General features: G+C 45.0%; 1 protein-coding gene across 6 annotated transcripts in view, besides 1 other annotated feature; it reads right to left on the reverse strand.

Annotated features, from left to right (window-relative positions):
• The window catches only part of IGSF3 (immunoglobulin superfamily member 3), a 93358-nt gene that overhangs the window by 43970 nt on the left and 36539 nt on the right, over positions 1-12849 (reverse strand). The window lies entirely within an intron of this gene.
• Positions 736-1243: an enhancer, noted in NCBI's record as "OCT4-NANOG hESC enhancer chr1:117161725-117162232 (GRCh37/hg19 assembly coordinates)". NCBI's record gives its function as "activates a minimal SCP1, AML or CMV promoter by ChIP-STARR-seq in primed H9 embryonic stem cells {active_cell/tissue: H9 hESC(primed)}" and the evidence as "EXISTENCE:reporter gene assay evidence [ECO:0000049][PMID:30033119]".

Consider the following 12849-nt stretch of genomic DNA (forward strand, 5'->3'; position numbering starts at 1 on the left):
GCATAACATTTTTACTATATGTACAGTCATGCACTGAATAACATTTCAATCAATGAGGAAACACATGTGCAACAGTGATCCTGTAAGATTATAATGGAGCATATATAGAGATCTAATATATGGCACTTAATGTTGGCATGGCAGATCAAGTAGGGGAAATGACTGATATTCAGTAACAGTGCTGGGACATTTCATTTTCCATAATAAAATATATAAATGAAAATATATATCCCATCTAGGTTTGTTGAAGTACACCCTATGATGTCCACACAAGAATGAAATTGCCGAATGATGCACTTCTTAAAACATGTCCCCATCATTAAGTGACCCATGACTGTATACACACACAAATATGGTGACATTTTAATCAAATGATTGCAGTATTCCTGAAACACAGAACATTTTGCAAACAATTTAACTACATTCATAACATTAGGTATCCTTTGAATTGCGGTGTTCTATGACAGCGCAACTACAACCAACCCCCATACATCTCCTGCAAAGAAGGCTAGAGGCAAGTCAGGGTACACCAGCATCTTTAAGGACTGCTTCTCAATCCTGGACCTACACTGGAATCACCTGGGGAGCTTTAAAGAACTAACAGTGCCTGGACCCCACCTGACATAACTGGTCTTAGGATTAATTAGGATTTTTTTTTGAAGCTCCACAGATGATTCAAATCAGGTGTAGCAAAGCACTGTTACTTTAAAGTGTCTCTACCTACATGGTGCCAGCCAAGTGCTCAAATGAAATATCTTAAGGCTCTCACTAGCTTTAAGTTTCTCTCTTTGGTAGAGACCCAATCACTGGTTCAAGAAAGCTTCATTCTCCTCCAGTCTTCCCCAGTGCAAAAGAAAACATCTGAGACCCATCAGATACTAGCATTTGTGAGGCAATAACGAGTTTAACCAGAATGCATCCTATTTACAGACCTTACAAAGGCACTCGGCCAGCGGATCATGCACGTCCTCCCCACCCAATGGTAAACAGTGTTAAGTGGCCTGAATGAGCCAGGACAGCAGGGTCAAATCAACTTGTCTAGGCTGGAAGCAGGTTATAAACAATCCAGACAAATAACTACTGGATTGCACTTTAACCACACACATTCAGCTGCACCTGTTTATTAAATACCTCCTTAATTTCCCTCTGCCCCACAAAGGGCTTCTGACCCCTGAAAATAATGCTTCTCAACATAAAAATAATTGTTTTCTTCTTGGCAGTTTAATTCCCCTTCCACACATCCCACCCCACCATTCCCCTATAATAGTAATACCCTGCTGTGCAGACCTCTGCTGCCTCCAAAGAGACACAGGCTCCCAAACCTGACCAGGGCATCCTCTGACCCACAGCCCCTCTCTCTCCCCTCCCAACCTACAATAGAAAGTTCCTCCCAGGCAAGGATCTTTTTTTTTTAAATAACTTTTTTAACTTTAGACATTCTGTACTCTTTGGATTACTCTGCAATAAGCAAATATGACTTCTGTAACATAGAAAGAAAGATCAAAATGTTATATATAACTGCATGAAAAGAACTAGAAAGAAAATACTAGGTGACAGGATGGCAAGTGATTTTTATTTTTTTCTTAATATTTTACTCCTTCCCCCAGTCCTCTGCAATGAGTATGTACCAGTTTTATAACTAGAAAAAAATTTTAGCCAAAAATAAAAATAATGCATGTTTGCTATATAAAATTCACTACTGTAGTATTTATATATATATACATATTTGGTCTTTGTCCCCAGTTCCTGGCACTGAGCTCCTAAACCCCTTGGAACTTCCTAAGCAATGGGAGTACCTTTTGTTATTTATAAGAAGCCCCTTTTGGCCATCCCAGAGTTTATGCTAACGAGGTGACTGAAGGTGAGCACGGAGGCAGTTTCAAGGAAGGAGCTGGCCACGCTTAGAGTTGTGGAGTTTTCCGCCCCAGCCTTAGACCTCCAAGGACAAGAAGGGGACTGCAGATTGATCCAATCAGCATTGGTCAGTGATTTGATCAGTCATACCCATGTAATGAAATCCCATATGAAAACCCTAAATAATGGAGTTAGGAGAGCTTCTGGGTGCTGGAAGCGGCGTGCACCAGGAGAGGGCATGGGCAGTCAGCACTACTCCCCTCTCAGACCTTGCCCTATGCACTAAATAGGACTGACCTACGTGACCAATAGGAAATGCACAAATGGTGGAATGTGACTTCCAGGGCTAGGTCATAAAAAGACAAGCATGATGTTATGAGGACATCAAAGCAGCCATATGGGGAAGACCACATGAGGCCTCCTGCCAACAGCTAGCACTAACTTGCTAGCATGTGACTGGAAGTAGATTCTCCAGCCACAGTCAACTCAGTCAAGCCTTCAGATAATGTCAACCCCAGGCATCTTTTTGTTGTTGTTGAGACAGGGTCTCACTCTGTCACCCAGGCTAGAGTGCAGTGGTGCAATCATAGCTCACTGCAGCCTTGACCTCCGAGGCTCAAGTGATCCTCCCACATCAGCCTCCTGAGTATCTGGGACCACCAGCACACACCACCATGCCTGGCTAAATTTTTTATTTCTTATAGAGACGGGATGATATGGTTGGGGTCTCTGTACCCACCTAAATCTCATGTTCAATTATAATCCCCAATGTTAGAGGTGGGGCCTGGTGGGAGGTGACCGGATCACAGGAATGGATCTTTCATGAATGATTTAGCTTCACCCTTTTGGTGCTGTGCTTGTTAGAGTTCTCACAGTATCTAATTGTTTAAAAGTGTGTGGCACCTCCCCCCTCTCTCTCTTGCTCCTGCTTTGGCCACGTAAGGCGCGCCTGCTTCCCCTTCACCTTCCACCATGATTGAAAGTTTCCTGTGGTTGCCCCAGAAGCCGAGCAGATGCCAGCATTATGCTCCCTGAACAGCCTGTGGAACTGTGAGACAATTAAACCTCTTTTCTTTATAAATTCTCCAGTCTCATGTATTTATAGCAATGTGAGAACTGACTAATACATAGGGTCTCACTGTGTTGCCCAGGCTGGTCTCAAACTCCTGGGCTCAAGTAATCCTCCTGGCTTTGCTTCCCAGAGTGTAGGGATCACAGGCATGAGCCACTGAACCTGCCCCTTTCCCCCCAACAACATCTTGACTGCAACCTCCTGGGAGACTCCGAGTCAGAAGTATCCAGTTAAGATGTTACTGACTTTCTGAACCACAGAAACTGTGAGATAATAAACATCTATTGTTCCTTTAAGCCTTAAGTTTGGGGCTTTTTTTTTTACATCAATATATAACTAATGTAGACACCTGCAGTCCCTAAGATTGAATGCAAAATTGTGTTACATACACATGAGTGTGTTCTTCTGGGAAAAGAGTCCATAAACTTCAAAAGATTCTCAAAGGAATTCAAGACCCAAAAAGATTAAGAAACATTGCATCAGACAATAAATTGTCAATGAGCAAGGTCCTGTCCTTTTAGATTGGGTTTTGAAATCACCCATCCCACAAATACATGATACCACTTAACTAGTTTTTCAAGATATTTCTTGTTCAAAGATGCTCCCACTTTTTCTTTGTGCTCAAGTCCTAGATAAACCTGGCTAGGGGCAGGAGGTATGACTCAGGAGTTAGTGAGCAGGGAGGGGTCACTGTGTCTGGGAAAGCCAGCTTCTCATGCAATTTTTGGAATATGCCTTGGCTCAGAAACCTACCTCTCTAGGCACAGGATCCAACTTATATGTTCAAGATGCGTGACTGAGCATGTGAAAGTGTCAGAGGGATCGACCTCACCATTTTACATCTACTTTTCCAGTTATGGCCTCTACAATCATCAAAGCTCATTCAGCACCATGCTCCTCCAAATTCTGCATGCGACTCAGCCACACTAGTATCTTTCTTCATCTATAAGATGAAAGTAATACAACATACCATGTAGCAAACTCACAGGAGACCCTAGAGATCAAATAATACTGTGAAAGCCACCAAATGAATATTTTAAAATTTTATCTCATTTCTGCCAAGGTGAGATATCAATATATAAACAGGATAAATCTTTGTAAGTACAAGAACATTAAAAAGAACATTAAGTTTGGGTAAAAAATGCAAAACTGCATATGCAGTAAAATTACATTAAAAAAAAAAAATCCTACACCTACAAAAACAACCAAACAAAACATTGATGATACTGGGCTGAATCGCTGAATGGTGAGAATTTGAGTGATTTTCTCCTCTCCTATTTTTCTCAATACCTTTTCTCTATTATCTCCTTTTTTTAAATAAGCAAGTATATATTGTTCTAAACTGAAGACAAATGATCATAATGAGTAGCACTTTCCCAGGCACTGTCCTAGTTTCTCTGCATACATCATCTCATTTAATCCTCACAACAGTGAATGGGGTCGATTTCATTACAGCCACATTTACCAGACAAGGAAATGGTTTTCAAGGTTAAGTAAACTTCTCATGACACAGAATGTGACTAAGAGTTTTCTTATTCCATGGCTCACACTAAATGTGCTCTGTGAATATCAGTGAGAAGTAATAAAGCACTGACTGGATCTTCTTGCCCACCTGGTCCTAAAGGAAATGATGGGGAATCTATGCAGTCCCAAGTTAAAAATGGGAACTGAACTGAGCTGCCACAGCATGCTGAATTGGTGGAGTCCAGGCCAACTAAGTGCTTCATGGAACTTAAAGGCTCCAGAGAGAAAGCAATCGGGAAGGCCACTTCCACAGGCACATCGGTGACAACTTCTGGGGATTCTTACCTGTCAGCCTTCGGCCAAGGAAGGACAGGAAGTGGCATGGGCTAAAAGATCCTTTGTTTGACCTCTTTCCAGATCAGGTGACAGGAAAACACAACACTTGAACCTTTCCAATAAGGACAGCCAGCACTTACTGAGCCCCAGCCAGGTAACTGACACTGTTCCAAGTACTCTGCTTGTATAACCAGCTTTAACCTTGCAACAGCCCTCTGAGGTCAATACTCCTAGTGACCTCACTTTACGGATGCAGAATCTGAGGCAAGGAGTTAGGGAGTAAATGAAGCTGGCTAAACACACTTGCACTGGCCAGGCACGGTGGCTCATGCCTGTAATCCCAGCACTTTGGGAGGCCAAGGCAGATGGATCACTTGAGGTTAGGGGTTCGAGACCAGCCTGGCCAACATGGTGAATCCCCAGCTCTACTAAAAATACAAAAATTAGCCGGGTGTGATGGCACACGCTATCAGGAGGCTGAGGCAGGAGAATTGCTTGAACCTGGGAGATGGAGGTTGCAGCAAGCCGAGATCGCACCACTGCACTCCAGCCCATTCGGTCAATGTCACTGCCATCAAGGGACAGTCTAACCAAGGTCCAGATGGCACAAGTGGAACCATAAAACCAGGACAGCTCGAGGTTCAGCTTCCCAAGCCCACAGGTGCAAGGACCTTATCTGGATCCATACTTTCATCAAAAATGTCCCTTGAGGCCAGGCACAGTGGCTCATGCCTATAATCCCAGCACTTTGGGAGGGCGAGGCAGGTGGATCACCTGAGGTCAGGAGTTCGAGACCAGCCTGGCCAATATGGTGAAACCCTGTCCCTACTGAAAATACAAAAATTTAGCCCAGCATGGTGATGTGCGCCTGTAATCCCAGCTACTCCGGAGGCTGAGGCAGGAGAATCGCTTGAACCCAGCAGGTGGAGGTTGCAGTGAGCCGAGATCATGTCATTGCACTGTGGGCTGGGCAACAGAGAAAGACTCTATCTAAAAAAAAAACAAAAAAAAGGTCCCTGAGGATCCCTCGAGCCTGGGAGGCCGAGGCTGCCGTGAACAATGATTGTGCCACTGCACTCCAGCCTGGGTGACAGAGCGAGATCTTGTCTCAAAAAAAAAAAAAAAATGGCTCTTGAAACAGCCATCAATTCCCATGTGATAAATGCACTGTCACAATCCAGCAGCAAACCTAAAGTTTGGATCGAATTCCTAAGTCTTCGCCTTCACTGACTTCCCACAGCATGGGCAGTAGCTGTGAGATCTTGGGCTGGTTACTTAACCTCTCTGCACCTCAGTTTCCTCATCTGTAAAGTGGTATAATTGTCACAGCGTTATGGAAGGATTAAATGAGTTGCTACATTTAAAACTTAATTCCTGGCACACAATAAGTGCTCAATAAATGTTTAGCCACTAGTTGCAGTAGTAGCAATAGTAGTGATATTAACTCTAGCTGTGGAACTAATTTCTCCCACACACCGTGGCAGGTTGTATTCTCCAGACACAGCAGTAACAATATCTCCTTCCCACATGCTCTTTTGCAATGTGACCATGCCACACACTCCCATCAAGAGGTGGAGTTTAGAATAATTCCCTTCTCTGTGTATCTGGGCAGGAAGTCACTGTGTGGCTTCCAATCCTAGGTCATGGAAAGTGATGTAGCTTCCATTTCACTCAGGGTGTCCTGAACCACCACATAAGACAGCCAACGGTCCTGAGGCCATGCTGTGAGGGGGCCCAAGGCACATGGAGAGGCCCTGGGCAGGTGCTCCAGTCCAGAGCTGGCTCCAGCCAGGTCCACCTGCCACAATGTGAGTGAATGAGCCAATCAGCACCCAGCTCCACCTGCCACCATGTGAGTGAACAAGCCTCCACTGTGAGCTGCCCCCAGCCTTGGAACTTCCAGCCATGCCTGCTGTGCCTCTAAATTCTCGACCCACAGATTCTGTGAGCATAACAAAATTGTTGTTTTAAGCCACTGAGGTTTGGAAACATTTGTTACATAGAAAGGTAACAAGAACATATGCTATGGCTTCAATCAACATTTTTTTCAGTACCTATTATGATGGATACTAGGACAGAAACTGTGAGGGAGAGATTGATAAGACATAGTTGACAAGTTGTCCTAAGCTGACAATCCTAAAATAAATACACATAACTAATCATTTTAATGGTATACAATAGCAGTGAGGTGCAAAGTGCAAGGTTAAGCCCTTTCAGAAAGTGAAAGCATTCAAAAAGCCTTCAAAAAAGCAGTGACATCTGAATTGGGTCCCAAAGCACAAGGGAAATATATACCACGTGAAAACACTGCAGTGCATTCCAGGATTAGCAAGAAGTTTGCGGAGGTCGTTTTGTCACATGACTGGAGGGCACATCAGTGCCAGGCGGAAAAGGGCACCGAAAGGCACATTAATAAAGTCAAACACCTCCTCTGGGACTGGGGAAGTTGAGAAAGAGCCTAACAGAGGTAAGGAAGAAGACGGATCAGATTTACGCTTTCGAATTATCACTCTGGTGGCAGGTGGAGGACAGAGCAGAGGGCAGGACTGGAAGCAGACAGACCAAATTCACAGTCAAATGCGACAAGATGAGGGCCTGGCCTGGTTTTAAATCCAAGGACAAAAATATCATTCATTCACTCTTTCATTCTTTCTCTTATCTGAATCCCCAGTGGTACCTAAAATAGAGCTGGTCTAAAGATGATGATTAATGAATGTTAAATTATTGATACTACTTCTAAGAAGATGTAACTGCCAGCTACAGAACCATCCAAAAGGACTGCAAACCCAGTAATTCATTTCATCCCAACCTGACTGATCTCTCTGATGTCTGCACTGCTGTGTCACTAGACTGCCTGATTGTCCTAGGTTGAGACATTTAGCTACTGAGCCCCAGGGATGGGTGGCTGCTTCTAAGCTGCTGCCTAATTCCCTCATTACTAAATGTTGAAGCTGCTTCCTTAGAGGACTGCTAAACCATAACTCAAAAATATTTTAAACATGCTACTATTTACTTAGATTAGAATATTTACTTAAATATTTTAAAAATTACAGTATTTTAAGTCTTTTATCTCTTCTGACTACTACCACTAACCCTGCTTCCCCTCATTTTTCCAGAGATTAGCACTACTGTGATTTAAGGATAGAGCTCTCCAGACTTAAAAAAAAAATGCTTTTATATCCAGATATATGTAACCACTGAAAAATACACATTATTTTTCAGCATTTTTTACATAAACATTATCGTCCCTTTCATTGAGTTATGATCCTCAGTTTTCCTCCTCAAAGTTTTTGAGATCAAATATAGTTCCCATTTTTCCTCTTTATATAGCTGCACAGTATTCCATCATAGGATTACACCACATTTTATTTATTCCAATATTAATGAATATTTAGGTTATTTATACTTTTTTTTTCTATAACCAACAAGCCCATGCCTTCTACTGCTTATCCTTTCCCCACCTGAATTTGTACAATCCCCAGCTTCTCTTATCCATGACCATTGAAACCCCAGGGAAGACCTTATCACTTTCAGGATGTCCATGGCTATTTCACCCTATGCCATGCTTGGAACCAGGAAAGCCCAAAAGACCCCACTTCCCGCCCTTCTATTCTGCTCCTCCTCTCCTATCGCTCATTTCTTTGACTCCATCCTCCACTCCTCCCAGAAAAGGTAGGGATAGCACCTGAGTCCTGCCACCCTCTCACCTGCATTCCCCCTCACTCTCATGCGAAAGACAGCACAGAAGCAGCATCCAAAAAGAAAGGCAGCGAGGGAGCCCTGCAGCCTGCCCTAGGCCAGCCATGCCCACAGCCACAGGAATAGACACTTTTTTCAGCCCAACCTAGAATCAAGGCAGCATCTAATAGAAATGCTTATAAGTAAATATAAGTGCTAGTATTTGCCTTCTATTTTCTAGAGGGGAAAAAAATTAAAAGGCAAGATCAGATTACTTGCCTGTAAATGTTCTCCCTGTAATTACTCTGACCGCTCTTTCTTTCCGTCCGGTTTTGGAGATAACAGAAATAGGCTGAGTGTTGGGCATTTTTTTTTAAAGAGGGCAGCTTCGTGGCAACACTCCCTCTGAGAAGTCCAGAGGCTCAGTGAACCGCAGCTTAGAGTGAGTTCCAGTAAAAGGACCATCACTCGAACCAGTAAGTGCCTCATTCCTTCTCACAGCATACATTTCACAGCAATTACTGTTGCTATTATTTTACGCTTCATTTCTGGACCTAGGATACCCCAGTTTCTCCAGACTCTCAGTCTGGTCCCCAGATTTTCAGTCTGGGAGAAAGGTGTCTGCTGGATTTCAAACAGTCCCTCTACTGGCCGCCACCACCACCCTCTCCTAAAGAGGACTGGAATAACTTCCACAGCTCCTGCCACACTCAGCACTGCCTGCACCTCCTCCTGGAGCTGGCAGGGCCCCAGCAGTGCGCCTCTCAATGCTCTCACAGCTTCAGGAAGAGGACTGCTAAGCCCAGGGCCCTGCTGACAACAGGCCGGGAGCGCATCTGCAGGCAGCGTCAGGATGTCAGCTACCAGGCAGCAGAGGGATGCGGGGCGCCAACAGCAAAAGCACTTGGGGGGCTTTTTCAAGTGGCATCAGAACTAGACCTGGATACAAAGGGGTGGCCCTGGCTTCAGGAAGCCCATGATAAGTCAGTCTGCTGTGTCCTTCAACACAGTGTCCCCACCTTCTGTCTCCCAACACTAGGCCATGGAGACACAAAACTAGAAAATGGGGCTGCCTAGCTAGGAATGCCCAGGCAGTGAATTGGGGTCTCCAAAGGAACCTCAGAGCCGTGTCCTACTCAGAGCAGCCCCTTCAGCTCTTCACCCTGGAAAGCACTCCGGTACAAAACAGGAATATTCCTCTTCTCCTGACTCTGCCCAAGGCACTGCTGTGACCCTCTCAGCAGTGGAAGCACTAGCCAATGTGCCATCCTCTTGGATGATAGCTGGATAATCGCAATAAGCAGAGCCCCAATAACTAGCTCCAGTGTGTGGGCAGAAGTGGAGAGGATGGAGAAAGGATACAAAAAGACACTGTGGGATTTCAGGGCAACCCATGAGTGAGGATCACAGCACAGCTATGCCTTGCAAGGACCAGAACTGGAAAACCTTTGTGACTTAGACCACCCTCCTCAGGACAGCTCCCGCCACTCTTCAGGGACAAAGTTCCTTTACTCAGCCATAGTTTCTGTGCTCCAAATACTCAGCTTACACATGCCTGTTGCTGCTGCACTCCCCACTGTGGTTCTCAGCGCAAATTCCCCAGAAAGCAATCTGACTGGCTGGGAGACTTTTTTTTTTAACCAGGCCCCCAGAGTTGTAGATTTTGGGGTCATTTACAATGTGCATTTCCCCAACACACTCAGATCTAGGTGACCTTGACCAGATGGGCATCTGTATTCCATTACCCAGCATATAACCACTTTGGGCAACAGGGACTGTGAAGGGCCCCCAAACCATTCCCCACCAAGAGTGTGGGTGGCAGGCACCCTGAAATATGTCTAGCATACTCATAAAGCATGAACATCTACACGTAACTAAAAATAAATACTGAGAGCACTGACACTGCTTCTGGGGGTTTTCCCAAGCACGTGTTACGTATGATAATAATGGATGGCCGCTCCTTCCCCCTCAGCTTTGACTTTCATTGCTGGTGGCTCAGGCTCCTGTGCTTGGCTCTCATCAGTGGGTAGCCCTGGATTGGACATTTTCCCTATTCAATTCAAGGACCATGTTCTTGAGCATAACTATGACCAGGCAGTAGGCAGTGGGCCCTGCTCATTCTTTCTAGGGAGGCACAGATAAGCCAGCATCACAGATGCAAAAATAACAGAACTGTGGAAGTAGAGACTAATTCTGCAGCAGCCCAGAGAAGACAACTGGGAAACAGGGCCCTCGCAGATACACAAGACCAAGCTGGAGAGTTCAGGGACTTCCAAAAGAAGGTACAAGAATGAGCACTATACCATAGGGGGGTGGGTCACAAAAGCAGGAAAAGGTCCCCAAACAAAGAATCCATCAGTCAATTACAGCACTCTCCCCATGTGGTGAAATAGTATGCAACCATTTAAAAACTGCAGAGAACAATATTTATGAACACCTAAAAATGCTGAAAGCACACTACTAAGTAAAAGGGGAGAAAGGCTATAAAAGGATTTGAAAGTATTTTCGTAAAGATAAACACCCACACACCTCTATATATGTGTGGAAAAAGGACTGGGCTAGTATATTTAAAAAACGCTAAAGGGAGGTGGGGTAATAAGGGATTGTTTTTTCTTTGCACTTTGTGTTTTCTAAGTATTCCATAGTCTGAATGAATTAGCTTCATAATTAGGACCAACAGTCATAAGCAATTTCTCAGACCACCTGCCTCATAAAACCCAAAAAAAGAAGTCAGAGAGGGGTGAATATTTTGGTACAGATGAATTCAGGTTGTGTAAGTGGAGAGGAGGGAGGTGGCCAAGGAGCCTGAAGTGGGGGAGGGGGGCTGATGTGAAATAGGGAATGGGTGGCGAGAAAATGATTGCAAAATTGGCTGGAGCCAGCCTGGTCAGGTCAACTTTGCAGGTGTGTGAAGTGTCAAATGGTTAATCAGTTGCCCTCTATTTGAGCTACTTAATGCACAAGGGCCTGGTTGAACAGGTTTGACCTCATTTACTTTTTCTTAAAGCTGTTTAGCCGCTTTCCTAAAAACTCCTATTTTCTGAGTTATTAAACTTTCCATTCCATGTTGATCCCTTCCAAGCCTTCTAACGCATCTCTTCTCTTGCTTCTTCCAATTGGATGCCTTCATGAGGCATTAACAGAGACTGTGAGCCCTGATGAAAATCATCCTTTCAGGGTACAAGGAAGGCACCTGAATGACAGATGGTTTGAGGAATCTTGAGAAAGCAGAAGTTTAGGCATTAACATGCAGGCTGTCGCTGACTTACACAGAGCCAAGGACGTGACATACAGCATGGGGCCATTTCTAAATCCCCACTGAAGGCAAGGGTCCTGGAGGGAATGGGATTTGGAACAAGATTTGGGCTTTGAACATTCGCTACAGGCTCTGACAAAGCAGTGATGGTTCAAAAGCCTCTGCCCCCTGGTGGCAAGCCCTGCCCAGATGCTGTTAAGGGGCTCTCCAGGCACGCCCTCCTAATTAGGGGCAAGATCAGAGAAGCCTCTTTGGAAGAAGACAAAAGGCACAATGAGATGTAGTCTCCTGAAGTAGAGGCTTTCTCTCTGGTTATCACCTGAAACAGGAAATAAGGACTGAGTGCCTGCTGAATTCCAGGTACTAGCCAAATCTGCAGCAAACTAGCATTTCCAAAGGTGTCTTCTTACTTTAATCTCACAGCCACCCTGTGAGGGAAGTGTACATTCCCCATTTTACTGATGAGATGAGCAAACTGAGGCTCGGAAAAATTGTCAGTGGGATACAGAGTTGGCATCCAAACCCACAATCTCTGACTCTAAGCTTCTGTTTCATTCATTCCAAAAATATATATGGTGTCTCCTCTTTGCTGGACACTGTACTGGGCTGATGAGCTACAAGACCCAATCTTTACAGTCTAGGAGGCAGAGATAGATAAGTAAACAGAGGCGGCAAAGCGTGGCACTGTGAAAGATGCACTGAGCTAGGTGTTCCATGGGCGTCAGGAAAGGCTTCACACAAGAGAGGTGGCTTGTGCCCAGTTTTAATTAGGATGAGTAGGTATTTCTGCTAGATCATGGTGGGGTGGGGAGGACTTGACATAGGACCTCAGCAGAGAGCAGCTCGAATCTATGCAGAGCTGCATGAGGAGCTGGAGGTCCAGAGTACTGCAGCAGTTTGACATTGATGGGTGGTAGGGTCCATGAAAGTAGAGGAAGACCAAGAGGAAGCAGCAGACAGGGGCCAGGCCAGGGCAGGGATAGGGTGCTCTACTAAAGAGCATGGGCTTGGCCGGGCATGGTGGCTCACGCCTGTAATCCCAGCACTTTGGGAGGCCGAGGCGGGTGGATCATGAGGTCAGGAGATCGAGACCATCCTGGCTAACACAGTGAAACCCCGTCTCTACTAAAAATACAAAAAATTAGCCGGGAGCGGTGGCGGGCTCCTGTAGTCCCAGCTACTTGAGAGG

This window comes from Homo sapiens, chromosome 1 (assembly GCF_000001405.40).
Source record: "Homo sapiens chromosome 1, GRCh38.p14 Primary Assembly".
NCBI lineage: Eukaryota > Metazoa > Chordata > Mammalia > Primates > Hominidae > Homo > Homo sapiens.